This window comes from Homo sapiens, chromosome 1 (assembly GCF_000001405.40).
Source record: "Homo sapiens chromosome 1, GRCh38.p14 Primary Assembly".
Classification (NCBI taxonomy): Eukaryota; Metazoa; Chordata; class Mammalia; order Primates; family Hominidae; genus Homo; species Homo sapiens.
In genome coordinates, this window is record NC_000001.11 from 3974257 (window position 1) to 4001890 (window position 27634).

The 27634-nt window shown below is 52.3% G+C and overlaps 1 long non-coding RNA gene across 5 annotated transcripts in view, besides 2 other annotated features; it reads left to right on the plus strand.

Annotated features, from left to right (window-relative positions):
* Positions 1–1833: 1833 nt before the first annotated feature.
* Positions 1834–27634, plus strand: part of LINC02780 (long intergenic non-protein coding RNA 2780) — a 36615-nt gene continuing 10814 nt past the window's right edge. For 2 of the 5 annotated variants that reach the window (NR_186588.1, NR_186585.1), the window contains exons 1-2: positions 1834–1939; positions 2626–2846. This is a non-coding gene — a long non-coding RNA (long intergenic non-protein coding RNA 2780). Of the gene's footprint in view, positions 1940–2625; positions 2902–5327; positions 7501–21528; positions 21607–22550; positions 22677–23799; positions 24528–27634 lie in introns of those variants that run through there. The other 3 variants (NR_186589.1, NR_186586.1, NR_186587.1) reach the window with 3 other exon arrangements.
* Positions 2998–3498: an enhancer, noted in NCBI's record as "H3K4me1 hESC enhancer chr1:4037314-4037814 (GRCh37/hg19 assembly coordinates)". NCBI's record gives its function as "activates a minimal SCP1, AML or CMV promoter by ChIP-STARR-seq in naive H9 embryonic stem cells {active_cell/tissue: H9 hESC(naive)}" and the evidence as "EXISTENCE:reporter gene assay evidence [ECO:0000049][PMID:30033119]".
* Positions 3499–3999: an enhancer, noted in NCBI's record as "H3K4me1 hESC enhancer chr1:4037815-4038315 (GRCh37/hg19 assembly coordinates)". NCBI's record gives its function as "activates a minimal SCP1, AML or CMV promoter by ChIP-STARR-seq in naive H9 embryonic stem cells {active_cell/tissue: H9 hESC(naive)}" and the evidence as "EXISTENCE:reporter gene assay evidence [ECO:0000049][PMID:30033119]".

Here is a 27634-nt window from a genome sequence, read left to right on the forward strand (position 1 = left end):
GCTCACGCCTGTAATCCCAGCACTTTGGGAGGCTGAGACAGGTGGATCATCACTTGAGGTCAGGAGTTTGACACCAGCCTGGCCAACATGGTAAAACCCCATCTCTACTAAAAATACAAAAATTAGCTGGGCATGGTGGCACATACCTGTGATCCCAGAGAATTGCTTGAACCCAGGAGACGAGGCTGCAGTGAGCCAAGATCGTGCCACTGCACTCCAGCCTGGGTGATGGAGCAAGGCCCTGCCTCAAAAAAAAAAAAAAAAAGAGAGAGAGAGAGAATGCCTCAAGCAAAGGGAATTTTCCCCTGGAGGAGAACTGTGTGCTGAGCAGGCAGTGGGTCCTGACTCAGGGGTGTGGCCAGAGCAGGGTGGGTACTGCCCTTCACTCTCATCGCCTCAGTGGAAGGTGACTTCCAGATCTGTTTCAGGACAGGGACACCCAGGTCCCCCTTCTCCCCTCAGGGGTGTGAGATGGCCTGAGGACAGTATGAGTTTGGGAGTAAGCTGCCTCCCAGCAGCCTCCCACACTCTCACATGTGCACACACGTGCACACATCACACACACCCAGGGCACACATGCACTATCACACACACATAAGCATGCACACACCCAGGGCATACATGTACACACACATGTGCCACCACACATATGCTCATACATGCATGTGCATACATGCATAAGCAGGCACACACTGATGCAGGGCACACATGCACAACCACATACACATACATACATGCACGCACATAAGCACACATGCACTTATACAGTGCATGTGTGCACATATATGCATGTGCACACACAATAAGCATACGCACACGGCACACATGTACACGCATGCACAACGATACATGCAAATACATGCGTGCTCACACACACAAAGCATGCACATGCTTATATAGAGCACACATGTATGCACATATGCACAGATGTACATGCACACACTCACACAGGGCACACATGTACACACACATGCAAACATGCACAACCACATACATGCACCTACATGAATGGGCACACACACAGAGGCATGCCCCCACATACACACTCCCCCAGGCCCAGACTCCCAGAGCAGGAATAGTTCTAGGGCTCTCCTTTAAGGCTTGGCATCCTTGCTGGGGCACTGACAGACACTCCAGGGTTTACCCTGGGGACTCAGCGCCAGATGCCTTTGGTAGCAGGGGCTGCTCCCAGGAATTTGAGGGGAAGCCCGCCAGAAGAGAAGAGCCAGTTAAGGCAGACGACCTGCAGCACCTGGAGAGATGGCTGCCCTGGGGAAGGGAGGGACGCTGCCACTGTGCCTTTAGCATGAGTCTTCATTTAGATGTTAATTATTCACTCAAAAAGATTTACTGAGCACTTACTGGGTGCCAGGCATGGCTGTCTAGGGTGCCATGGTCAGCAAAGCAGACAAAGCCCTGCCCTCGTGGAGCTGGCATGCCAGTGGAGGCAGCAACAGTATTTTAAAAAGTAAAATGTGTTTCTGTTTGAGGCTGAGTACCGTGGAGAAGGCATAAGGGATGAGGCAAACGGAGAGGAGAGCCGCGATTGGAAGCAGGTGACCAGGGAAGGCCTCCTGAGAGGGCCAGGAATAGGTGCAGACCTGGAGGAGGGGAGGGAGGAGCCCTGCAGACAGCAGGGAAAGAGCACTCCAGCCAGACGCACAGCAAGTGCAAGTGCCCTGAGGCACTGAGAGGGTGTGGCTGTGTCCCCACCCGAATCTCATCTCCAGTTGTAATCCCCATCATCCCCGCGTGTGGAGGGAGGGACCTAGTGGAAGGTGATTGGACCACAGGGGCGGTTTCCCCAATGCTGTTCTCGTGATAGTGAGTGAGTTCTCACGAGATCTCATGGTTTTATAAATGGCGGTTTCGGCTTTTTGGTCTTTCCTGCTGCCTTGTGAAGAAGGTGCTTGTTTCTTCTTTGCCTTCTGCCATGATTGTAAGTTTCCCGAGGCCTCCTCAGCCATGCAGAACTGTCAATTAAACATCTTTCTTTTATAAATTACCAGTCTCGGGTGGTATCTTTATCGCAGTGTGAGAATAAGTGAATATGGGCAGAAACACATGGCCAGTCTCCAGGAGCAGACAGGAGGCCCGAAGGCCGGAGCGGAGCCAGGGAGAGGAAAGCGAGGGACGCTGAAGCCGCGTCCCGAGGGCCTGGAGGGCGGCTCTGGTGACCTTGGCTCTTGCTCTGTGTGAGCCAGGAGCCATGTGAGGGTTTCGAGCAGAGGAGTAACATGGTCTGATTTCATTGTTTTGGGCTGGAGGGACTGGAAGATGGAGTTGCCGCTGAGCTGAGAGATGGCTGGGGACAGCTCTGGGGAATGTGGATTTGGACGCGGTAATATGCAATGCTTATTGGACATCCCAGTGGCGCTACTGGGGAATCTTTAGGAAAAGTGGACCTGACATTTGGAGGAAAGATCACAGATGGAAAACGTGCTTTCGGGAGATTTGAGTGTAGGGCTGAGGCTGGACGCGCTCACCAGGGGTGAGTGGGCAGAGAGAGGGAGAGATCCCAGAATGAAAACCCGGGTCCCACTGTTAGGAGGCAGGGGAGGAGTGGGATCCACAAGGGCAAAGCAGCCACGTCCCCTGACTACGGGGTCACCATTCACCTCGCAGGCCATGTGAATCGCACCCCTGGAACTGTGCAGGGCCCACCTGTGTGGCCACACGCAGTGACCCTGAGCAAAGGAGTGACCACAGAAGTGCATGGCAAAGCAGAAAGGTGTGACGTCTTGGAGGACGCGGGAGGAAAGCACGCCCAGCGGACAGGAGCCATCACGCGGCTGCGGGCTGCTGCTGAGAACCTGGCGTGGGCCACCGTCGTCAGCAGCGTGGAGGTAACTGACGACCTTGGCCAAGAAGTTGGGTGGCAGCGTGGAGGTCATGCTCAGAGTGAGTGGGCGCAAGAGACGGTGGCGGGAGAGGGAGTGGAGATCATAGGCGTGGATGGCTCTTATGAGCCTTTTCTCTGTAGAGGGGAGTGGGGGAACGGGGGAAGCTAGGAGGGAGCTGTGCCTTGTGCGTTGTGTGCTGTGTGCTTATCAGTTAAGGGGAAAAACAGCGGCAGGTGAGTTTCGTATGTTGCTGGGGATGACGTGGCAGAGGGACTATCCCACGAGGGAGCAGACGGAAGCAGGCTTGCTGGGGTGATGGCCTGGGCAGGGTCGAGGGGGTGAACTTAGTGCACAGTGGGAGGGCTGGCGCTGGAGAGGGGCCTGGACTGGCCCCTGGGGTGACAAGGGAGAAGGTGGAAGGCATGGGCACTGAGGTGGGTTGTGGAACCTCCTGGAAACTCCCATTTGAGACAGTGACATGATGCCACCACTCAGGAGACTAGCGTGTGGAGGGGCTGGGGGCCGGGCCAGCAGGGAGGATGAGGGGCCCCCTTGAGATGCATGGGCTGAATGTAAAGTGAGGCCGATGGCATGAGCTGTTCCTCATCCTCGTTGAGCCGAAGGATGCGGGTGCTGCGAGTTGGGGGATGGGCGACTGTCCCTGGGACTGAAGTTTTGCAGGCTGCCAAAGCGACAGGGCATGAGGGTCTTGCAAGGAGACCTCTAAAGATGAAGCAAATGCGAGGGGGGCTGAGGAGCTGTTGGAGGGGTGGGAGTCGGCGGCAGAAGTGCAGGGAGGGCCACAGGGGTTGAGGGGAAGGGCTGTGGCAGTCGGCGTGGCCCAGGGAGGGGCCAGGAGGATGGCAGCAGTGGTTGTGAGGGTGTCTGACATTGCGTGGCCATGAGGGAGGAGTTCAGCCAATGCTCGGTGAGGGCCAAAATGGAGGAGGGGCTGAGAGGAGTCAGACTCCTCATGACTGGGTGGGAGTGGGACGGGGGCAGGGCATGAGTGACAAAAGCTGAGCCTTCCAGGAACCAGGGCTGGAGGGGGACTTGGCAAAGGGGATGGGGGCCACCACCCCCACTGACATGGGACTCAGAAAGGAGGCTTTGACTGTGGAGGGAGGGAACGGGGTCTGTGCATAGACTGTTGGCAAAAATGACCCCACTCCCACCCTGTGTCTCTGCTCTTGGTGGGGCGGGGTCCCTCACAGACTCCGGGCTTGGCTGCGTACCTCGCTTTGACCAGTGGGACATTAGAGTCGAAGGCTGGAAAGCCCATGTCCACTGGGGCTTGTCCTTTTGCTGGGCCTGGAGTCCCAAGGCTCCCACGGGCACAGGCTCAAGCCAGCCTGCTAGAAGGTGAGATGCTGCCCGGGGGAGAACTGGGGAGCCCTGGCCGATGGTCTGCTGCGTGCAGAACGGGTGAGGAAGCCCAGCGAGATTATCCAGCCACTAACCCACCAGCCTGGGGAGCATGACACGTGAGAGAGCCCAGCCAGGACTAGCAGGGCCCAGAAAATTCACCCAGACAACCCGAGATTCGTGGGAAGGAACCACTGTGACTGTGGTGTGTAGCTTTAGTGCCGCTGGTTTTTGGTCATTTGTTAGATAGTGAGCAGAAGCTCACCAGTGTAGTCTGAAAGCCACCGTAAAAAGCAGAAGGCCACCCACCCAGCTTCAGCTCTGTGGGCCGAGGCCGTGGGAGGGAAAGCGGTCCCCCGCTAAGACAGAGCAGGGGAGGCGTGCACCATGGGGGAGAGAGCCAGGGCCCTGCTGGAGGCAGTGGGTGAAGGGACCCTCTAGAGGAGTGCTTGGAGGTACAGGGGATTTTGCTGATGACTGGCTGTGGGATCTGAAGGTCAAAAGTGGAGGGGCTTTTGAGAGCCGGAGTGGGTGGGTAATGGGGTCAGAAGGGTGAGCGCTGTAAACAGGCTCGCAGGGCTTGCTGAGACAGCTGCTCCAATCCAGCTCAATAAACATGTAGTGAGGTCCCGCCAGGGCCCGGCCCCGGGCCAGCTGCTGCAGGACACGTGTCTGCTGTCCACTGAGTGTGTAGAGCTGTCCCCAGCCCTGGCAGCACATGTGGCGCTACTCCCTCACCGTGCTGAAGAAGGAGCCAGTCCTTAGCCCTTCCCACTAACAGTCAGTGGGCTTTTTTCTTTTCTATGGGAACATGTCCTTGTTTTTCATTATGAACGTCATGGGAAAATCAGATTTACCTAGCAGAAATGTCATTTGTTATCCATGTATCTGTTTTGTGGGGTGAAGGCTCCCTAGCGGGTAAGTGACAAAGCAAGAGACAAGAGCTCCCCTGCCATGAGCCCCAGGCCCTCTCGGTGCTCTGCTTGGTCATGGAGAGACCTTGAACTTGCTGCTTTGAGGGCTCGTTAGCATGTAAACCAGCTATTATTAGATTTCCAAGCTCATATTTATGTTTTATTAATCTGTGTAATGAAGTTCCCTTTCTCCCGACACCATCAGGGAGGCATTTGCCCAGGAAGGCTGTGCCTGTGGCAGAGACTCATGGCTCCGGCCTATAACAAGGGCCATGTACATCTTGCAGCCTGGTGGAGGCCGTGGAACACCATCCTGCAGTTCTGGGTCCCCTGACAACTGAATGTAGCACCCACCAGCTCTCCTGGAAGGGCCTTCTCACTCAGAACCAACCTTCAGCTCAATTGCTTCCCACTCTGGAAGGATGCTGGGGAGCCCCGTCCAGAACCCCAGCCTACTCCCAGTCCAGCAGCTATTTCTTTCTTGTGTTTCAAGGATTTGCAGCCAGAAGCTCCCATTCCTTGGAGTCTCAGAGTGATCAGCTTTTCTGAGCTGTAGGTTTTGGAAAATATGGCTTTCTTGAACTTGGCCACAAAACCATTTGATTTTATAGGCCAAGGAGCCCCCTTGAGAAACAGGCACAGACAGGACCGGCGATTTGCCAAAGTCTGGTCTGACCTGCGTGAGTGTTTGCGGTGCCTTCCTCTCTGTGACAGTCCTCATGGTTTAGATAGATTTTTCTGCCTTGTTGCTCCAAATTAAACAATCACTACATTTTATTTAAACAAGTTTGTGTTTGAAGGGCACTGTGGTACATGAGGAAGATCCCTGGGCATTTATTAATTCATCTGTGTGAGTCTGTTCTCATGCTGCTAATAAAGACATACCCGAGACTGGGTACTTTATAAAGGAAAGACGTTTAATTGACTCACAGTTCAGCATGGCTGTGGAGCTGTCAGGAGACTTACAATCATGGTGGAAGGGGAAGCAAACATGTCCTTCTTCACATGGCAGCAGCAAGAAGAAGTGCTGAGTCAAAGGGGGAAAGCCTCTTATAAAACCATCAGATCTCATGAGAGCTCAATATCATGAGAACAGCATGAAGGTAACTTCCCCCATGATTCAATTACCTCCCACTGGGTCCCTCCCACGACATGTGGGGATTATGGGAACTACAATTCAAGATGAGATTTGGGTGGAGACACAGCCAAACCATCCATATCATCCATCCATCCATCATCTGCCCATCCTTCTCTCATCCACCCTATATCCATCCATCCATCATCCATCTGGAGTGGTGAGACAGATGAAGAGTTGCCCACCTCACAGAGTGTGCAGGGTCGTGGGGAGGGTGACAGTGGGTATTTTAGCTGGGGTTATCAGGGTGGGTTTCTCCAATCAAGTGTTTTGATCTGAGACCTGAAGAATGATAAGGCATCAGCCACTCAGGAAACAGGACAAACTCTGTGGCTTCTTCTTGCCCATACCCCGGGAGACCATTTTGAAGTGTTGGACTCTTTTCCCTCCTTGCCGTTGGTGTCACTTTTATGTCCTGGCTGTCCTCTCTCCCCTCCTCTTTGCTGTCCCTAAATCTTTGTGACAAGATGTTTAGAGGAAAGTGGTGCAGGGCTGAGACACAACCCAGGCCCCTTCCCTTGTCCTGCCCTCCATAGCAGGTGCATTTAATCTTCAAGGCTGCAGAATGGCTGCACTGCTTCCAGGTACTGCATACACATCCCAGGCAGGAAGAAGGCAGAGGGGACGGAGAAGCCATCTCACTTAGATTCCCTTCCCAAGGCCTGCAGGGTTAATCTGCAGGGAAGGCTCTGAGCTGAAGGGAGTTCTCAGCAGGGCTGTAGGTGGCAGGAGTTTGGGAATCACAGAGCCTGGACATCCAGTCCCTTCAAATCAGGCTTATGATTCACCAATGTCCCAGCTGCCTCTAACAAGACTCACTGCTCAGAAGACAAGCTGAAGAGCCCCCTGGAAGTGGCACATTCCCAGCAAAAGCAGCTCAAAAGGATTAGGAAGGAGAGGCAGCATGCATTCCAACCCTGTTGGGCTTCTGGCCCAAGGCCTGCGTATGTTTACAAGCCCGGCTCACACCTTTGTGATCTGTTGCTCACTGGGGCCGATGTGTCTTGGGAGCCACTGAATCTGTTAGGGACCATGTTTCTCCGGCATGGTCCTTGAGTTGCTGGCTTTGAGCTGTTGGCTTTGGAAGGGTTGGCTGGGCCCAAGCATTCACAGCCTGGGAACTGCACGTGAAGAGAAATGGAGCTTTGATCACAAGATGTGAAATTTGTCATCTCTTTCCCCACGTGGACATTCACTCAAGCCTCTCCCTCCCTGTTCCTTTAATAACATTTATTTTAACCAGTCACTTGTATCATTTTTCTTGATTCACTTCACCTTGGGCACTTTCATTATTTTCCTCACAAAATCAAGGCTCAGATTTAATTTCCCTCTCCCGTTCGATGGCCTGGCAGAGTGGCCAGGAGGGGGAGGAGGATGTGTGGAGGCATGAGGTGAGGGGCCCTGGGGGCCTCCGGCAGGAAGGGCTGTACCTTCCAAGGGGTGTGTGGGCAGGAGGGAAACGCTGCATCTGGGAGAGCGGGGACCCTCACAGGCAGTGGGTCGGGCTGCTCATTCCCTGTGGGTGGGTGGGGGGAATTTTCAAGCCCTTCTCCTGGGGTCCCTCCTGGGAAATCTTTCCCCAGAGTCTAGGCAGGCCCCTTCTGGCTCTCTGTCTGGCCAGGGTGCCTGCTGGGGATTTTGCTGAGACCCCAGAGGGGAGGTGTCCATGCCAGGGTCTGCCTGGGTGCCCAGAGCCTGTGGCCATTTGGAGAGCACTGGGCCGAGCGCCAGGAGACCAGGCTGCAGTCCTGTCAGGTGGAACTCTGTGTGACCTTGGGCAAGTGGTTCCCTGTCTCTGCACTTTCAGGAAGTGAGGGAGCTGGGCTTGGTGGCCACGGCTCTGTGCAGCTTTGCAAGTCAGCATCGCTGATGCTTCCAGGTGCTCCATCTCTGTGATGGGATCACAGATTCAGCAGGCGTGCGGGGACCTGGGGACCTGGCAGTGTTCCTTTGCACTGTTGAAGCCACATGCCTAGATTTCCCCACAGGGTGGTGAATGAGGCCAGCCCGGCGTGAGCCAGCGGCCAAGTTCCTCCTCTGTCTGGAGTCTTGTGGGGCTTGGGGAGGCCACAGCATCCCCTGTGGGTCTTCCTTTCCTTTCAGGTCTAGGCGATGGCTCTCAGGGAGGGGGTGGTATTGTAAGCCCTCCTCCCAGGAGACATTTGGCAATGTTTGGAGCTATTTTCAGTTGTGGTGCGTGTGTGTGTGTGTATCCAAAATGTCAATAGAGTCCCCTACCCAATTTGTATGTTGAAGTCCTAGTAATCAGGATGTCAGAGTATGACTGTATTTATAGTTTTTTCAGAATTAAGTTAAAATGGGATCATTAGGGTGGGCCCTAACCCATTATGATTGTGTCCTTATAAGAAGAGGGGATGGAGACACAGACACACACAGAGGGACGAACCTGTGGGTACAGGGAGAAGATGGCATCCGCAAGCCAAGGAGAGAGGCCTCAGGAGAAACCAACCTGCCCGTGCCTTGATCTCACTTCCAGCCTGCAGGACTGTGGGGCAGTAAGTGTCCGTGTTTAAGCCGCCGGGCTGTGGTGCTTTGCCATGGCGGCCCTTGTAAAGCCAAGCCAGTGATGGCATTCCAGGAGTAAAGACAGGATGGCTGGCAGAGCAGGCTTCGGACAGAGAGTGACTCCTGTTGAGGGGTGTGGATCTTTCCCACCGCTTGGCTTCTCTTCCCCTTCTTGCTTTCCTTATTTTTAAAATTCCTGTTTTAAGATTGTCAGCTCCATGGGTTGAAGCACTGGTATGGGGAAGAGACGGGCTTATGGGGTTTTGATTCCAACTTCCTCTCTGCCTCCGCTCTGGGTGGCTCTCGGACCCCGAGGCTTGGGGTCTCTGAGCTGGGGGAGCTGTCTGGGTGAGGCGGTTCCTGCCAATGTGGTTGAGGCTCCAGGAACTTGAATTCCTAGCATCCCTTCCCATGGCAACCACAGGCAGTGGCTCACTGAATGGCAGCAGCTTCTGAGGTCCCAGCAGGAGGGGACATGGCGAAGAAAACAATCTGCAGTTTCCCCACAACGAGAGGGCGGCAAGCAAGAGGGAGGAGGAAGAAGAAGAGACCCTGGGGGGTAAAACCACCTGGATCACGGGAAAAAGAAGACCAGGAGCAAAAAGAATGTATACAGTGTTCAGTCCCATTTTTATAAAAAAAACTATAGAAAATATTGAAAGAATCGACTCTCAGACATCATCATGATTATTACAGGGGTATTATAGCTGGACGGTGGCAAGGTGTATGAGCTGAAGGCGTTTTTACATCTCTTTTATTTATTTATTTTGAGACGGAGTCTTGCTTTATTGCCTAGGCTGGAGTGCAATAGCGAGATCTCGGCTCACTGCAACCTCCGCCTCTGGGTTCAAATGATCCTCCTGCCTCAGCCTCCTGAGTAGCTGGGATTACTGGTGCGTACCACCACTCCTGGCTAATTTTTGTATTTTTAGGAGAGACGGGGTTTCACCACATTGCCCAGGCTGGTCTCGAACTCCTGACCTGAAGTGATCCACCCCCGCCTTGGCCTCCCAAAGTGCTACTATTACAGGCATGAGCCACTGTGCCCGGCTACACCTCTTTTAAAAATGATCTAAAACATATTATTTTTGTAATAAGGATAATATAATAATAAAAAGCCTTGCTTCTCTCCAGGGAAGAAAGGGATAAGGGCTGCCCCTTTGGCATCAGCCGCCTGTGCTCCTGTCCCCTTGTAAAGCCGTGGGGACTTGAAGAGGTCACACCAGCTACCCAAGCCTGTTTCTTTGGCTGTGAAATGAAGAAAGAAAGAGCACTTTATCCTGAGGTTTAAAGTAAGGATTCCAATGAAGTCATATCCGTGAAGTACTGGGCACACCATCTGCCCTCAATAAATGTTAGCTATTTTTGTTGTTATGACATTTTCCGGCCAGAACCATCCCTCAAGAAGAGGAAGTCTTGCTGAACAACCTCTCAATGAAACCAGAGTGGTCAATTCTGCTCTTCTTTTATTAGAAAGTGATTCTTCCCTTCTTGTTTGGAAATGGGTTTCAGGGAAGCTGCCTGCGAGACAGAGACACCCCAGCCCCTCTTCTGGCTTGTCTGAATGAAGCTGTTTGACTACAGCTCCGAGAGCTGGCCCTGCAATGGACTCCTGGCCAGGTGTCACAAAGAAAGAACACCTTGGTCTCTCCCATCTAAACTGCTGGAGGGACTGCATTTGTGTTTTTTTGGGGGGGCTACCCACCAGGACAAAGTCATGAGCTTGAGGCTGGGGAAGCACCCGTGAGCCGGCGCGTTACCGCGGTCAGGGGATCTGAGGCCCTTGTATGATCAGGGAACACCAGTTCCAGAGACGTCCAGAAGGAGCGGGGAGAGAGGAAGGTTCCACATTGCTGACCTTTAACTTTTGTTCCCACTTCTGCCATGGAGGCTAATTGTTACGTTTTCCTTGCTGAGCAGCGTTCGGCTTCCTACACCCCGGTGGCTTCGCCTGTGCCTACTCCCAGTGCTCGCACGTTTGGCCTAAAGCAGTTAAACCTCTGAGCTGCCCAAAGACCTTGTAAGAATGAGAAACTGCTCCATGGTTTATTAAAAAGCAAACAAAAAAACCTTCCACAAAATAACAGCAATAAAAAAAAACCATTTAAAGTGATGTCCCTCCCTTCATAGGATGTAAGCTCATATTTAAACCATATATTGCTCCAGCAGGGTCACAGGTGGAGGTCAGGTCCCTGCCCCAGCCTCTTCCCATCCCTGGCCGGTGCCTGGCGGCCCCACTTTCACCTTTACTGTATCTTCTGGGGCTTTGCAGAATGGTCCTGTAAAACAGGACAGACAAAGCTCCCAATGGGACCACAACTGTAAGAACAGTGAACACTCTAGCTGAGTGTGGTGGTGCCTGTAGTCCCAGCACTTTGGGAGGCTGAGGTAGGAGGATCGCTTGAGCCCAGGAGTTTGAGGCTGCAGTGAGCTGTGATGGCACCACGGCACTCCAGCCTGGGTGACAGAGTGAAACTCTATCTTTAAAAAAAAAAAAATCTATATCTATATGTATATCTATATCTATATAAAGATATATATCGATATATATATAGGCCAGGTGAGGTGGCTCGTGCCTGTAATCCCAACCTGGGCAACATGGTGAGTCCCCGTCTCTATCAAAAATACAAAAAAAAAAAAAAAAAAGCCAGATGTGGTGGTGCACGCCTGTGGTCCCAGCTACTCGGGAGGCTGAGGTGGGAGGATCATCTGAGTCTGAGAGGTGGAGGTTGCAGTGAGCCCAGATGGTGCCAATGCAGTCCAGCTTGGGCAACAGAGGGAGACCCTGTATCTCTCTCTCTCTCATATATATATAGACAGAGAGAGAGAGAGAGAGAGAGAGAGGAGAGAGAGAGTTTATAGATAGGGTTTCGCTCTGTCACCCAGGCTGGAGTGCCGTGGTGCCATCACAGCTCACTGCAGCCTCAAACTCCTGGGCTCAAGCGATCCTCCTACCTCAGCCTCCCAAAGTGCTGGGACTACAGGCACCACCACACACAGCTAGAGTGTTCACTGTTCTTACAGTTGTGGTCCCACTGGGAGCTTTGTCTGTCATATATATATATATATATATATATATATATATATATATATATATATATATATATATATATATGTATTTAAAAACATAGCGAACCCTCCAGCTCTTTCACAGGGGCTGCTCAGATGTATTCATCACTGTACGATTTGAACTTCAGGGCCTGAAATCACTGCAGCTCTGAGTTTTAAAGCAGTTTGTGGTGGAAGAACCCCTGTCAATTACCCACGCTGTGTCGGAGGGGCCAGTGCAGTCTTCTGATGTGTCTTTGGATTGAATGTTGGTTCAGATCACTTTCCAGAAACTTCTGGTGCCACTCCAGGCAGAGAAATGCAATGGCAGAAAGCGTCCCCGACCTGGGTCCCTGGAGTCTCCGTGACTTTCCCCGCCATGACGGGTAGAAGCAAAGTGTCCCTGTGAGGCAAGGTGCACTCACCCACCCCAAGATTGTTTTTCGTTCAGACCCTAAAGCTGACTTCTTGTTCGAGGTTCGGAAGTGATGAACACATTTTACGAAGCAAAAGTTGACATCCCGGGTGAAAACACAGGCCACCTTTTTAAAGGATGCCTTTGCAGTATCGTGCTGTATCTTGATAAAAATTCACTCTCCTTGGCTCCTGGGATGGGGTGCAGTCTCAGGCACCCCTGAGCCTGTCTATGCCTGGGGCAAATCGCCACCCATTTGTGGCCTACGTCACTGTCGCCCCTGTGGATGCTCCTGGGGCATGGTGTGTTAGGAGTCTGGGTGGGGGGTTCCTCAGGCGGCCATCTGGGTGCTGGCTGGGCCTGTGCTCCTCTCTGGAGTTCGGAGTTTTCTTCCAGCCTTGTTCAGGTTGTTGGCAGAATTCAGTTCCTCGGGGCTGTAGTGCTAAGGTCCCTCTTCTTGCTGGCTGTTGGAGGGGCTGCCGTCCACCCTGAAGACTGCCTGCACATCCTTGCCACGAGGCCACCATGGACAGCTCGCAGTGGGGTTTTTGCTTTCTTCTAGGCCAGCAGGGCACGTCTCTCTGACTTCTGTCTCAAGCCTCTAGACTCCCTTTTAAGAGTTCCCCTGATTAGCGCAGGCCCAAGCAGGACACCCTCCCTTTGAAGCACTCCGTTGATTAGGGACCTGATGACATCCTCACGCATCCCTGTGGCTGTGTGACGTGACATAATCCTGGGGGTGATGCCCCCTCGCCTCCTGGGTCTCCCTGCACTTGAGGGGGCCACCATATGAGGGTGTGGGGCTTGGGGGCTGGCCTTAGAATTCTGCCCACCACAATCCCTGGGGTGCCTCGTGTGGGGGTAAGGGAGGGGTTCCCCTGTACATGGAGGTGAGGGAAGGCAGGGCTGTGCCTTGTGTGGGGAGCATGTTCAAGTCCCCATGTCGGCCTTTCTCATGCAACCTGAATTGTGGGTTGCCCTGGCCTCTGGACCCGTGTGTCCTGGTGCTTCTTCATGAGGGATCAGCGCACACATCTGGACTCTGCTATGCGTCTGCCTCCCAGTAGAGGAGGTGGCTGGGGTTTGGGTTTGGACTCTAAGTGGGCTGGAAGTTACTGGGGAGGCTCAGAGGAAGGTTTCCTGCAATGCATGGCTTGATCCAGTCTGCAGGGATGGGTGGTGTCTGTCAGTGAGAGAGGAGGGGACAGGTGCCCCAGGCTCAGAAACAGGTGGCCCAGGCTTGGGGACAGGTGATCCAGGCTAGGGACAGGAGCACCAGGCATGGGGACAGGTGACCCAGGCTCAGAAACAGGTGTCCCAGCCTTGGGGACAAGTGGCCCAGGCTCAGAAACAGGTGGCCCAGGCTTGGAGACAGATGCCCCAGGCAGGGGGAACAGGTGCCCCAGGCTCAGAAACAGGTGGCTTAGCTTGGGGACAGGTGGCCCAGGCTCAGAAATAGGTGGCCTAGGCTTGGGGACAGGTTTCCCAGGCTTGGGAACAGGTGGCCCAGGCTTGGGGATAGGTGCTCCAGGCTCCAGGACAGGTGGCCCAGGCTTGGGGATGGGCTGAGCAAAGGTGCTGTGAGGGGTCGGGGATGGGACAGTTCCCCTGGGGTGGATGGGAGGGCCCCTGGCTCGGGTGGTCTCTCCTCTGGTCATGGTGCATTAGTATCATAGTGTCACCCTGGGGAGGGGTCTCTGTTGGATGGCACACCATGTGGTGTTCCAGAGACTGTCCACGAGTGCCCTCTGCCAGGCTCCAACACTTTCCCTAAATACTTTGAATAACTCATTTTTAAAAGTAATGGGGAGGCTACTCTGCTTGTACAATGAGTTAAAGCAGCCCCGTCCAGGGTTCCGCGGTGGTGAAAGGGCCGTGAGCATGTAAGGAGGGAGCCTGTGCTTGGGTTCCTGGTGAGTTGCCCAGATGCAGTTAGGAATCAGCCAGAGATACCTTTTTTTAAAAAAATTAAATTCATCAGGATCATGCTGACTGTCCAGCCTTCAACACCACCCATCAGCCATCACGTACCTGCGGAGGGTCCCCGTGGTACCAACCTCAGCCTGCTTTTTGCCCTGAGCTCTCCTGGGAGAAGGAGCCAGGGATGGGGCAAGAGAAGGTACCACCCTGGAGCATGTAGTGTCGTGGCACCTTCACCTACTTGCCCGGAACCTTGGCCCAATGATGCCCTTCCTGTGAGGTGCGGTTTCCCACTCATAAGATGGGGATGGCATGGACCTCAGAAGGATGTTGGATACAAATGTAAAAAATGACACATTGTCAAAAACAAGCATTTTTTTTTTTTGAGATGGAGTTTCGTTCTTGTTGCCCCTGCTGGAGTGCAGTGGTGCGATCTCAGATCACTGCAACTTCCCCCTCCCGGGTTCAAGCGATTCTCCTGGCTCAGCCTCCCAAGTAGCTAGGATTACAGACATGCACCATCACACCTGGCTAATTTTTGTATTTTTAATAGAGATGGGGTTTCACCATGTTGGCTAGGCTGGTCTCGAACTCCTGACCTTGTGATCTGCCCGCCTCAGCCTCCCAAAATGCTGGGATTACAGACGTGAGCCACCCCGCCTGGCCAAAAACAGCATGTTTTTTTGTGTGTGTCAAAGAGTTTAATTCATGAAAAGAAAACAGCTTACAATAAATCATTTAAAAAGCACGCTTACATTTACCTTTATACCTGCTTATGTGCACCTGTGCGTTTTGAGTCCATAAAGGAAGAAGCATGCTCCAATGATACATTCTCAGTGTTTCTCTGTCATATGCTGCCATTCACTAAAATAACCTGATTATAATGCATCTTATAGAAAGCTTGTTTACATTTGCCTTGGAAATAAAAACCTGTACTTTAAGTTCAGGGTGCATGTGCAGGTTTGTTACTTAGATAAACTGATGTCATGGGGGTTTGTTGTACAGATTATGTAGTCACCCAGTGATTAAGTCTAGTACCCATCCATTATTTTTCCTGATCCTCTCCCTTCTCCCACCTTCCACCCTCTGAAAGGCCCCAGCATGTGTTGTTCCCTTCTGTGTGTCCATGTGCTCTCATCATTTAGCTCCTACTTACAAGTGAGAACCAGTGGTTTTTTGTTTCTGTGTTAGTTTGCTAAGGATAGTGGCCTCCAGCTCCACCCATGTTCCTGCAAAAGACATGATTTCATGCTTTTTTATGGCTGCATAGTATTCCATGGTGTATATTTAATGTATTTTCTTTATCCAGTCCATCATTGATGGGCACTTGGGTTGATTCCGTGTCTTTGCTATTCTAAATACTGCTACAATGAACATATGCGTGCATGTGTCTTTATAATAGAATGACTTATATTCCTTTGGGTATGTACCCAGTGATATGGTTGAGCTGTGTCCCCATCCAAATCTCATCTTGAATTGTAGTTCCCATAATCCCCACGTGTCATAGGAGGGATCAGGTGGAGATAATTGAATCATGGGGGCGGTTTCTCCCATCCTGTTCTCATGATAGTGAGTGAGTTCTCATGAGATCTGATGGTTTTATAAGGGACTTTTCCCCTTTTGGCTCAGCACCATTTTCTTTCTGCTGCCATGTGAATGACGTGTTTGCTTCCCCTTCTGCCATGACTGTAGTTTCCTGAGGCCTCCCCAGCCATGCTGAACTGTGAGTCAATTAAACCTCTTTCCGTTATAAATTACCCAGCCTTGGGTATGTCTTTATTAGCAGTGTGAAAACGGACTAATACACCCAGTAATGGGATTTCCGGGTCAAATGGTAGTTCTGTTTTTAGCTCTTTGAGGAATCACCACACTGCTTTCCACAATGGTTGAACTGATTTACACTCCCACCAACAATGTATAAGCATTCCTCTTTCTCTGCAACCTCACCAGCATCTGTTATATTTTGAGTTTTTCATAACAGCCATTCTGACTGGTGTGAGATAGTATATCATTTTGGTTTTGATTTGCATTTCCCTAATGATCAGTGAGGTTGAGCTATTTTTCATATGTTTATTGGCCACATGTAAGTCTTCTTTTGAAAAGTGTCTATTCATGTTCTTTGCCACCTTTTCAATAGGGTTGTTTTTTTCTTGTAAAACTGTTTAAGTTCCTTTTATATGCTGGATATTAAACCTTTGTCAGATGCAGTTTATAGAAATGTTCTCCTATTCTGTAGATTGTCTGCTTACTCTATTGGTAGTTTCTTTTGCTGTGCAGAAGCCCTTTAGTTTAATTAGACTCCATTTGTCAATTTTTGCTTTTGCTGCCATTGCTTTTGTCATCTTTGTCACAAAATCTTTGCCCATTGCTATGTCCAGAATGGTATTGCCTAGGTTGTCTTGCATCGTTTTTATAGTTTTAGGTCTTACATTTAAGTCCTTAATCCATCTTGAGTTGACTTTTTTTGTACAGTATAATAAAGGGGTCTAGTTTCAGTCTTCTGCACATGGCTAGGCAGTTATCCAAGCACCATTTATTGAATGGGAAGTCCTTTCCCCATTGCTTGTTTTTGACAGCTTTGTCAAAGATCAGATGGTTATAGGTGTGTGGCCTTATTTCTGGGCTCTCTATTCCATTCCATTGATCTAGGTGTCTGTTTTTGTATCAGTGTCATGCTGTTTTGGTTACTGTAGTCCTGTAGTATAGTTTTAAGTCAGATAGTGTGATGCCTTTAGCTTTGTTCTTTTTGCTTAGTATTGCCATGGCTATTTGGGCTCCTTTTTGGTTCCATATGAATTTTAAAATAGTTTTTTCTTAGTTTTGTGAAGAATGTCATTGGTAGGTTGACAGGAATACTGTTGAATACATTGCTTTAATGATATTGATCCTTCCTATCCATGAGCATGGAGTATTTTTACATTTGTTTGTGTCATTTCTGATTTCTCTAAGCAGTGATTTGTAGTTCTCCTTATAGAGATCTTCCACCTCCTTAGTTAGCTGTATTCCTAGATATCTTATTCTTTTTGTGGCAATTGTGAATAAGATTGCATTCCTGATTTGGCTCTTGGCTTAACTGTTGAAAAACAAGGATTCTTTTTTTTTTTTTTTGAGAGAGAGAGTCTTGCTCTCTCAAAAACCCAGGCTGGAGTGCAGCAGTGCCATCTTGGCTCACTGCAACCTCTGCCTCCAAGGTTCAAGTGATTCTCTAGCCTCAGCCTCCCGAGTAGCTGGGGTTACAGGCATGTGCCACCATAACCAGCTTTTTTTTTTTTGTATTTTTACTAGAGATGGGATTTTGGCATGTTGGCCTGGCTGATCTTGAACTCCTGGCCTCAAGTGATCTGCCTGCCTTGGCCTCCCAAAGTGCTAGGAGTACAGGTGTGAGCTACTGTGCCCAGCTGAAAAACAAGGATTCTTAACAAAGTTTACCTTCATATTATTTCCTGAAGAGGCTGGTGTCTTGCAGTGATGCTTTGGGGAGAGGTGATGTCATGGGGGAGATGATATCATGGGTGAGGTGATGCCATGGGTGAGGTGATGGCATGGGGAGGGGATGTGTTGGGGAAGTGATGCCATGGGGAGGGGACGTGATGGGGAAGCGATGTCATAGAGAGGTGATATCATGGGGAGGTGATGCCATTGGGAGGGGATGCCATGGGGAGGGGATGTTATGGGGAAGGGGTGTCATGGAGGGGTGATGGCATGGTGAGGTGATGTCATGGGGAGGTGATGCCATAGAGAGGTGATGTCATGGGGGAGGTGATGCCATAGAGAGGTGATGTCATGGGGAGGTGATGTCATAGGGGTGATGTCAAAGGGGAGATGATGTCATGGGAGAGGTGATGTCATGGAGAGGTGATGTCATGGAGAGGTGATGTCATGGAGGGGTGATGTCATGGAGAGGTGATGTCATGGGGAGGTGATGCATGGGGACGTGAAGTCATGCGGAGGGGATGTCATTGGGAGGTGATTTCCTGGGAGAGGTGATGTCATGGGAGAGGTGATGCCATTGGGAGGTGATGTCATGCAGAGGTGATGTGATGGGGAAGTGATGCCATGGGGGAGACAATGTTGTGGCAGTGGTGATGCCATAAGGAAGTAATGTTATTAGGGAGATGATGTCATGGGGGTAAGCCATTGGGGAGGTGAAGTTGTTGGGGAGGTGATGTTGTTGGTGAAGGATATGTCGTTGGTGGAGGCGGGATAGTGGTGACACCTGTGTGCAGCCACTGAACGCCTCATGACTGTGGGATACTGAGCTGTGGCAGGAGACTCCAGGAGGGGAAGGTGGGCTCTCGCCTCAGCATGGCTTGCCAGCAGGCTGTGCCCAGTCCCAGCTACAGCAACTCCATAGGGACTGAGGGTAGGGCCGGGCAGGTGGGACCTGGGGTGGTGGTGGGGGATGCTGCACTGAGTCCTGCCGCAGCCCCAGAGCCAGGCCCTTTCTGTGCTCCCTTTCCTTCCAGTGAAACAAAGTGGAGAGCTGGAAAGCTGTAAGTTTCGGGGCCCAGACCTGGACCCAGACCTATCTGCCTTCAGCCTCAGCTTTGAGCAGGCAGGGGCTGGGATGAGCGTGCTGGGGTGCATTTAGGCTGGAGGTTGGCTGCAGACACTTGGGAGGTGCATAGCTGGTGGGACGCCAGGTGGGTGTCAGGACTCCTGGAGGCCTTGAGTGTCGGACAAAGGAGTTTCTGGGCAAAGTACTCTCTGGGTCTTAAAGGAAACCTCCTTTGTGCTACCAAATGGAGTGCTTTTTCTTTTTGGTCAGCACCTAGTGTATTTGTCAGTACCATATTCTAACTGGAGTTATGTGACTCCCTGGTGCCGTGGTCCAGAAGGCATCATTGTTACCTGTACTGACTCTTCCTAAACATCAGGCATTGCAGCAACAGGCGATTCCTCTGCTGCTCCTGTTTCCTTGTTTTCAACTTGGAAAGTAGCCCTTTGGAAAATGACAATTTTGCTCTCCATTCTATACGTGGGGAAACTGAGGCTGAGAGGCTTAGGAGCGCGGCCAGCTGTCAGCCAGCGGAGGCGACCTGGGAGGCCCTCCCTGTCTGGGAGGCTTCTCACCATTGCTGCCAAGTGGACAACTGCTTAATGTATTTTCCCCAAAGCTGAATAAATGGGCCTTTACAGAAATTTAGTAGGTGAATAAACCACAGATGAAAAATCAAACACTTAGAAAAACCATTTAACGTTTTTATTTACACCATAGTGAAAATACCAGCTTGGTTTGGGATCGGGGAGCTGTTACATAATTTATGGCCACAAAGCCAATTCCTAACATAACATACTCTCAAGTTTTGCAGGTCCCCGAGGCGCCCAATTTATATTCCGTTCTAACTTGGAGAGGATGAATGGCAGGCGGTGGCGGGGAGGGAAGGGTGCCTTCCTGGGAGCCGGGGAAGGGACGGCAGCCTGGAGGAACGGGAAGGCAGCTTCGGCATGTATGTAGGGCAGGAGAGTGGCTTATAACGGAAGGATTGTAATTTATTTTGACACTGATCATCTATTATTCAGCTAGAGTAAAAATAAACCTTATTAGCCAGGAAAATAGATCCCTTTCGTTACGCCCACGCAACGCCAACTGCAACATCACAATGATGATCAGGACAATAGCGGAGTTTGCTCAAACATCTTATCAGGCACTTGAAGAATCAAATCCCTCGTTGGGAAGAGATTTGCAAACACGCAAGTGCATCTACATAATATGCTTAATCTCTCCCTGAGCCCTCTGAGCTCCCAGAGAGGGAACCTGCGTCCAGGAGGCAGCCCCGCCTTTTCCTCCCAGGTGGGGCCTCGCTGTTGGGGACGCTTCATCTCCGCACTGACGCCTCTGTTCCACACCAGGCCTGTGCCAAACCCTTTCACACATAACCCCCCTTATCTTCCTCATGACTCCCCAAAACAAGTATTGTTGGCCTTAATTTTGCAGATGGTGGAAGCAGATGCACTGAGGCTGGGGATGTGGCCGCAGAAACGCTAGCTATGGGCACAACAGGAAGCCCTCCAGCCCCAAGCCCAGCAAGGTGGGGACCTTGCTGACCCCTTCCTACAGTGGGTTGAGAGTGTTCTCCCAAATCCATGTCCACCGGGAACATCAGAACAGGACCTTTCTTGCAAATAGGGTCTTTGCAGATGTCATTAGTTAAGACGAGGTCATATCAGACTAGGATGGGCCTTAAATCCAACGACGGATATCTTTTTTTCTTTTAATTTTTAAAAATAGGTAGGATCTTACTATGTTGTCCGGGCTGGCCTCCTGGGCTCAAGCACCCACCTCAGCCTCCTGAGTTGCTGGGATCGCAGGCACATGCCACCAGGCCTGGCTATGGGGTCATTATAAGAAGAGAAAACAGACACAGGTACCCAGAGGAGGCCACACAAGGGTGGAGGCAGAGACCAGGTGATGGATCTATCAGTCACAGAACACCAGGGATGGCTGGGGCCCCAGAAGTTGGGGAGAGATAGGTTTTCCCTCAGAGCATCCAGAAGGAACCAGCCCTGCCCAGCTTCAGTTCAAATTTGTGGCCACTTGAGCTGTGAGATAGTAAATGTCCACTGTTGCAAGCCTGGTGGCTTTGTGGTCTTTCGTTAGGGCAGCCCCGGCCATGTAGACGTTCTCTGCTCCACCAGCCAAGGACGAGGCCTCCCAGGCTGCCTTTGTTCCTGGCTTCTCTCTCCTGAAAAGACAAGAAGGGATGAGGGGGAGGACCAGGTATGGTGCCACCAAGCAGAAAGTGGTTCTCCTGGGGGCTTTTTGAGTAGGGCTGCATGGCCCTGGCTTTGAGTGTGCAGTCCTGGTGAGGCCAGCACCTTGCTGTGGGCACCTGGGCCAGTCATGTGCCTGATTCTCAAGGGGCTCTCAGGTCGGCTTTGACCTCTTGAAGGTACAGGCATGGCTCAGTTTGCAGCCATAGCAGCGAGTGAGACAGGACAGTCATGTCCTGAACTCTGGGTAGCTGCTGCAGAGGCCAGACTCTTCAGGGTCCTTCCGATCCTCGGACCTCATGTGTGTGTCTGCGGGAGCCTACAGGGCCACTGTGAGGTCACTGTCACACCGTGGGGTGATTGGGGTAAGTCAGTGATTCCTGTCCCCATGAGGCTGGCTCGGAGGAGGCCAATGGACCCCCGGTCTCCATTGGCTGTCAACCTCTGCAGAGGCCGGACTACTCGGGGTCCTTCTGACCCTCGGACTTCATGTGTGTGTCTTCAGGAGCCTGCAGGACCACTGTGGGGCCACTGCCACCCTGTGGGGTGGTCCGGGTAAGTTGGGCGGTCCCTGTACCCCTGAGGCTGGCTCAGAGGAGGCTGATGGACTCCCAACCTCCGCTGGCTCTCACCCTCTGCTCCTTCCAGGGAGCCGAGGAGCATGGACACCGTCTTCTCCTTCCAGCAGGCACAGGTATGGAAGGAGACTGAGGCTGGTCTTGGATGGTGAGTGTGGAGCTCACAAAGCTCAGGGGGATGCTCAGGGACAGGGCAGGAACCCAGAATTGTCATTTTCTCCTGCCCAGCTACTGGGGGAAGCAGGCTGTGGAGGGCCAGATACATCCTTGAGAGGCCCCATGTGGAAAAGAGGATGGTGGGCAATTCAAAACAAAACTATCTTTTTAAAAACGATGTAAGACTTAGAGACACCAGACAATAAAAACAGGTTCTTTCTAGAACTTTCTGACTACCAAGTTGTTCAGGCGCGCCTTCTTGGATTGTGCTGAAGTTTGTGCCTGGCCCGTCTCTCTGGTCACCTGGCACCAGCTTGCCACTAGGAAGTGACTCGAAGACCTTGTAACTCCTGCTTCCACCCGAGGGAGCTGGGGTCCCTGCCTGCATCTCCCCCTCATCCTCTAACTCAGTTTTATAAAGAGACGCAGAGTTATCATCCATTCCCCATCCTTGCATGCCAAAGCTTTCTCCTCCAAAGTAGGACTTCTGGGGAGAGACAATAGCGGCCATGGAGGTGGATGAAGTGGTCAGAGTCAAGGTCTGCGGTGGAGCTGGAACTGGGGTCTTAATGTCAAGGATGCCTCCTTAGGGACAGCTGGTGATCGAGCTGGCATTTGGGAGCAGGCATCTCTCTGTGCCTGCTCTCAGTGGCCCTGGGCGACTGCCTCCTTGGCAGGCCAGCATCTGCATTTCCCGCTGCTGTAACAAATGACTGCAAACTGCGTGCCCTAAAAGAATAGAAATTCATTCTCCCTCTGTTCTAGGGGCCAGGAGTCTGAAATCAAGGTGTCTGCAGGGCCGTACTCCCTCTGAGGCTTGTGGGGTGGAGGCATCCTTGTCTTTCAGCTCTTGGTGGCTCTGGGCTTTCTTGCTTTATGGTTGCGTAGCCCCAATCCCTGCCTCCACCTCTGTCCTCTTCTCTTTTGTCTCCTAAGGACACTTGTTATTGCAGTCAGAGTCCATCTGGATAATCCTGGATAAATCTCATCTGGAGATCCTTCACCAGATCACATCGGCAATGACCTGTTCCCCAAATAAGGCCCTGTGCACAGGTTCTGGGGGTAAGCATGTGGATATATCTTTTCTTGGGATTGCCATTCAGCCCACTACAGTCTTGAAGTCACGTGGGGTCCAGGTCCTGATGGAACCCCCTAGGGCCCTTGACTGTCATGCACGTTCCTGGGCCCCACCCTAGATTTGGGACACAGCGATGGTGTAGGATGGAGTGATGGCACGGCATGGAGCCATGGTGTGGGACAAAGCAATGGAGCGGGACTGAGCGATGGTTTGGGATGGAGCAATGGTGTGGGAGGGAGCGATGTTGTGGCATGGAGCGATGTTGCTGCAGGTAGTGATGGTGCGGGATGGAGTGATGATGTGGGATGGAGTGATGGTGCGGGATGGAGTGATTCTATCGATGGAGTGATGGTGTGGGGTGGAGTTGTGATCCTATGGAAGGATGCTATGGGATGGAGTGCATGTATGGCCAGCACTCACATCTGTGTGCCCCAGCCTTCAATGGGCTTTAAGAGTGTCACTTCCTTAGTTCTTATCACAGCCCCGAGGGGGAGGCTCTGCTATGTTTACAGCCCCAATTCACAGATGAGGCACCCAGCAGGCAATTGGAAGTGCCAAGGCCACTGAGTCATAGCAGAACTGGGACTGCATTGGCTCTGGAGTCAATGCAGGATTGAAAAGGAAGCCGGGCATGAGTTGAGTCACTTTGTCGTGACCACCAGGGAGAGGGATGCTTTGAGGCTGGTTGGGGGCTTTGTGTGTAAAAACACAATGGCCTATTATCTGTTTAATTTTTTTTTTATTTAAAAAATTAGAGAGGGTCTCGCTGTGTCACCCAGGCTGGCCTCAAACTCCTAAATCTGTGGTGTCCTCCAGCCTCAGCCTGTTGAGGATGCAGTTTTTATTTATTTATTTTATTTTTGTGAGACAGGGTCTCGCTCTGTCTCCCAGGCCGCAGTGCAGTGGTGTGATCACGGCTCACTGCAGCCTCGACTCCCTGGTCTCAAGCAATCCTCCTACTTCAACCTCTCTAGTAGCTGGGACTACAGGCATTTGCTACCGCATGGTTAATTTTTTATTTTTTGTAGAGTTGGGGTCTTGCTATGCTGCCCAGGCTGATGTCACACTCCTGGGCTTAAGCAATCCTCTTGTCTCCACCCCCCACAGTGCTAGGAGTGAGCCACCATGCCTGGCCCAGTTTTTAATGCTTGGACATCTCCAAAATCAGGACATATCTTGTAATTGAAGACGTCTCACCATAGCGGCCAGCCGTGCAACCACTGGGCCTGTCTGTGCCTGAACAACACACTGGCCTGCCTTTGCCTGAACAAGACAGCCTTAGTCTCAAAGCTTGCAGATGGGTGTGGCCTGGTAGAAAATTCTCAAGACAACGGCGGAGCACGCTTGCCCCTAGGAGACCAAGTGGCCGGAATGTTGAGAATCAGCCTTTCGCAGAAATCCCCTAAGCGGGAGGCAGCAGGCTGACTCCATCAGCCCCAGGCAGGCTTCTGGGCCCTGCAGCTATGGCTCTTCATCCTTTTACATGTTCTTCGAGAATCAGCTGCACCCTGGATGCTTCTGACAGCTCAGAGGACATCAGCATGAGGACAAGCACAGGGCTTGATGGCTCGGAGGGAAATGGAGTTGGAAGATTTGGACTTAATGTGCACACATTTTAGAAATATCTTAACAAATTTTATTTTGCTGATATCTTTCTTTTTTGTGTGTGCCAAAGTGATGGCCAGTACAAATCCATGTCTAATTAAGTCCAGAAGAGCTCCTTCAATAAGCGTAAGATGAAAGTTATGAGTGATAAGAAAGCGTCATGTCAGTTTAATTGGCAGCATTTTCTCTTTCTTAGTGGTTCATAAAATAAGGCAGTGCTTTGCTATCGACGGTGTCTGAAATTCTGTGAATATTCAAAGTTAAATCTCATGCTGAACAGCCACTGTGCGCAAGGCGGGTGACGTGTGTGCTGTGTGTGTTCGTTCATCTGATGCTCATGACACTTTGTCAGCTGTGAGGGAGGAGAGGGAACTGGGGAGCCCCGGGGATGGGAGTGCAGTGTGCAGTTTAGAAAGTGGGGGGTGGTCAGGGGTGGCCCCTGGGAGAGGTTTGAGCCAAGACAGCAGGTGGCAAGGGGGTCATGCCTGAGCCTGGGAGGGGGGTCCCAGGTCCCAGCAGTTCTGTTTATTTTTTATTTTATTTTATTTTATTTTTTAAATTTTTGAGACAGAGACTCACTCTGTCACTCAGGCTGGAGTGCAGTGGCACCATCGGCTCACTGTAGCCTCAGCCTCCCGGGTTCAAGTGATTCTCCTGCCTAAGCCTCCTAGTAGCTGGCATCACAGGCATACACCGTCATACCTGGCTGATTTTTGTATTTTTAGTAGAGACAGGGTTTCGCCATGTTGGCCAGGCTGGTCTCGAACTCCTGAATTCAGGTGATCTGCCTGCCTCGGCCTCCCGAAGTGCTGGGATCATAGATGTGAGCCACTGCGTCCGACCCCCAGTGGTTCTTGGGAGGCACTTGGGCGCAGGGCCCTGAGCTCCTGGGGCACAGCAGTGGCTGTGACCGCCATGAATCAACCAAGCGCTCTTGAGTCTGCGTTGCCCTGTGGCCCTGGCTGAAGCCAGAGCCGCCCAGAAGGACGTGCCACAGAGAGGGGAGGGGCCACACTGCCGACGGGGCGGGCATGGAGTTGCAGGATACGCCACAGAGAGGGGAGGGGGCCACACTGCCGACGGGGCAGGCCTGGAGTTGCAGGACGTGTCACAGAGAGAGGAAGGGGCCACACTGCTGACGGGGCGGGCCTGGAGTTGCAGGACATGTCACAGAGGGAGGAAGGGGCCGGACTGCCGACAGGGTGGGCATGGAGTTGCAGGATACGCCACAGAGAGGGGAGGGGGCCACACTGCCGACGGGGCAGGCCTGGAGTTGCAGGACGTGTCACAGAGAGAGGAAGGGGCCACACTGCTGACGGGGCGGGCCTGGAGTTGCAGGACATGTCACAGAAAGAGGAAGGGGCCACACTGCCGACGGGGCGGGCCTGGAGTTGTCCACAGGCAGGGGCTTTAATCTTCAGGCCTGAAGATGTTTGCGGTTTTGAGATGAAAGGGAAGGAAGGGCACGGATCACGTTTTCTTTGTGGTCCCTTCTTTCACCCATGGCCCTCCGGTCTCCTCTGGGGAGCAGCGTGTGCGGGCTCTGCCTCTGTTGGCTGCAGCTGCTCTGAGTCCAGGGGGCTGCGGCCAGGTTCTGGTGAGGACCCTTCCCGGTGCAGCCTTCTTGCTGCGTTCTCACTTGGTGGAGAGAGGGAGAGGCCGCTCTCTGGGGGCCCTCTTTATAAGGGCCCTAATCCCATTCGTGAGGCTCCACCCTCATGACCTATGACTTCCCAAAGTCCCCACCTCCTATTACCATCGTTTTAGAGGTTAGGATTTCAACATATGAATTTGGGGGGCCACAAACAGTCCAAAACAGCTTCTACCCTGCTCTGTCTGACACCCGGGGGGCAGGGGGCACCAGCCCACAGTGCCCTCCCCGCCGGCCACAGCCTTCCCTGTCAAACGCACAGGTCTCCCTAATTGGGTCCCAGCCTCTCTCTTCCCATGTCTTGGCGTGCTGGGGTAGGTTGAGGGCTGTCCTCGGGGCTGGCTCTGTGGGGCAGGGGCCTGAAACAGCCAGAGCCCCACTTAGATGTTTCCTGTGTGGAGGGGCCGGACCCTCTGCAGGCTGCTCTGGGGGTGAAGTGACCAAGGCCACCTCCAGGACCATTGAGTGCCGGGCACTGGCTCGGGTGCTCTGGGGCCCCTGATTCCAATCCTTTTCCCTTGGTCACTAACTGCTTTCCAAGAGCAGGTGGCAGAGGGGTAGGAGACTCACACCCTTGGGCCACGTGGTTCTCTGGCTCTGCTGGGGCTTGAACACATCGGGGGTAAGGGCTCAGTCGCTTACAGCTCAGGGTTTGTTGTGCATTTTCACGTCTTGCCCTCCCCAAGGACAGTCACATAGGGACCACTAAGCAAGCGCTGGGCACAGAGGAGGGCTGGACACACAGGAGATGCCCCGTGGCCTTCAGTGACGAGAGGCCGTGTGAAGGGCCGTTCACTGGGGCAGCTTCTTCATTGGTGTAGTTGGTGGATTCCGTGGGTCCTGGAGGTACCTGGGGGATTTGACCAAATCAGCACAAGCCCCAGCTGCCGCAGGCAGCAGTGACTGCATACTCCACATGCCCTCGTGGCTGGCTTGAAGACCTCCAGCTGCTGGCTGGGGAGGCAGCGCCTTCCGAAGGTCACGTGTGCAGGAGCGACAGGGCATTGCTGTGTGGCTCAGGGCGGCAGTGAACAGAGAAAGCTTTCGATATCCATGAGCTGAGTGTGGAGGAAAGAGACACAGGACGGGGGTGGGAATGCAGGGGGTTCATCGCGACTGTCACTGGTGGAACACCTCCCCTGGGACTCCACTGGTCTCAGTCCCAGTCTCCATGGCCTGGATAACAAAATGTTACTATGTGGAGTGTCAAATAGATAAAATCCATCTGTTCCCTGATACTGTCCCCCAACCTGGGCCCTAAAGTTTTTTAGGATGGTGCGCAAAGCTCAACCTTTGAGTGCGGATTCCGGAAGGGCTGGCACAGAGGCTGCTTCACCTGGAGCGTGGGCAAAGCATCGTTTCAGAAGTGTCTACAGGTTTTTATGTAACACTTCCGTGTTACATGACTCTCTGGTCATGTGGTACAGTGCCTCCACCAGGGCCGCCAGTGGGCACTCTGATGGGTACAGTGCCTCCGCCAGGGCCGCTGCTTTCAGTGTCATCTATGTGGATGGTGCCCCCAAAGTTGTGCAGTGCTCCACCTGGGCAACTACCCATGGCACGCCTGAAGATTAGAGTGAGGAGTGGAAGGGAGTGGGATTCAGGATGAAATAATGAAGACTACTCCCTGTATTTTCTTGACAGTGGCACACCCATGATCTAACCTGCCTTATCCTCAAGAAAATT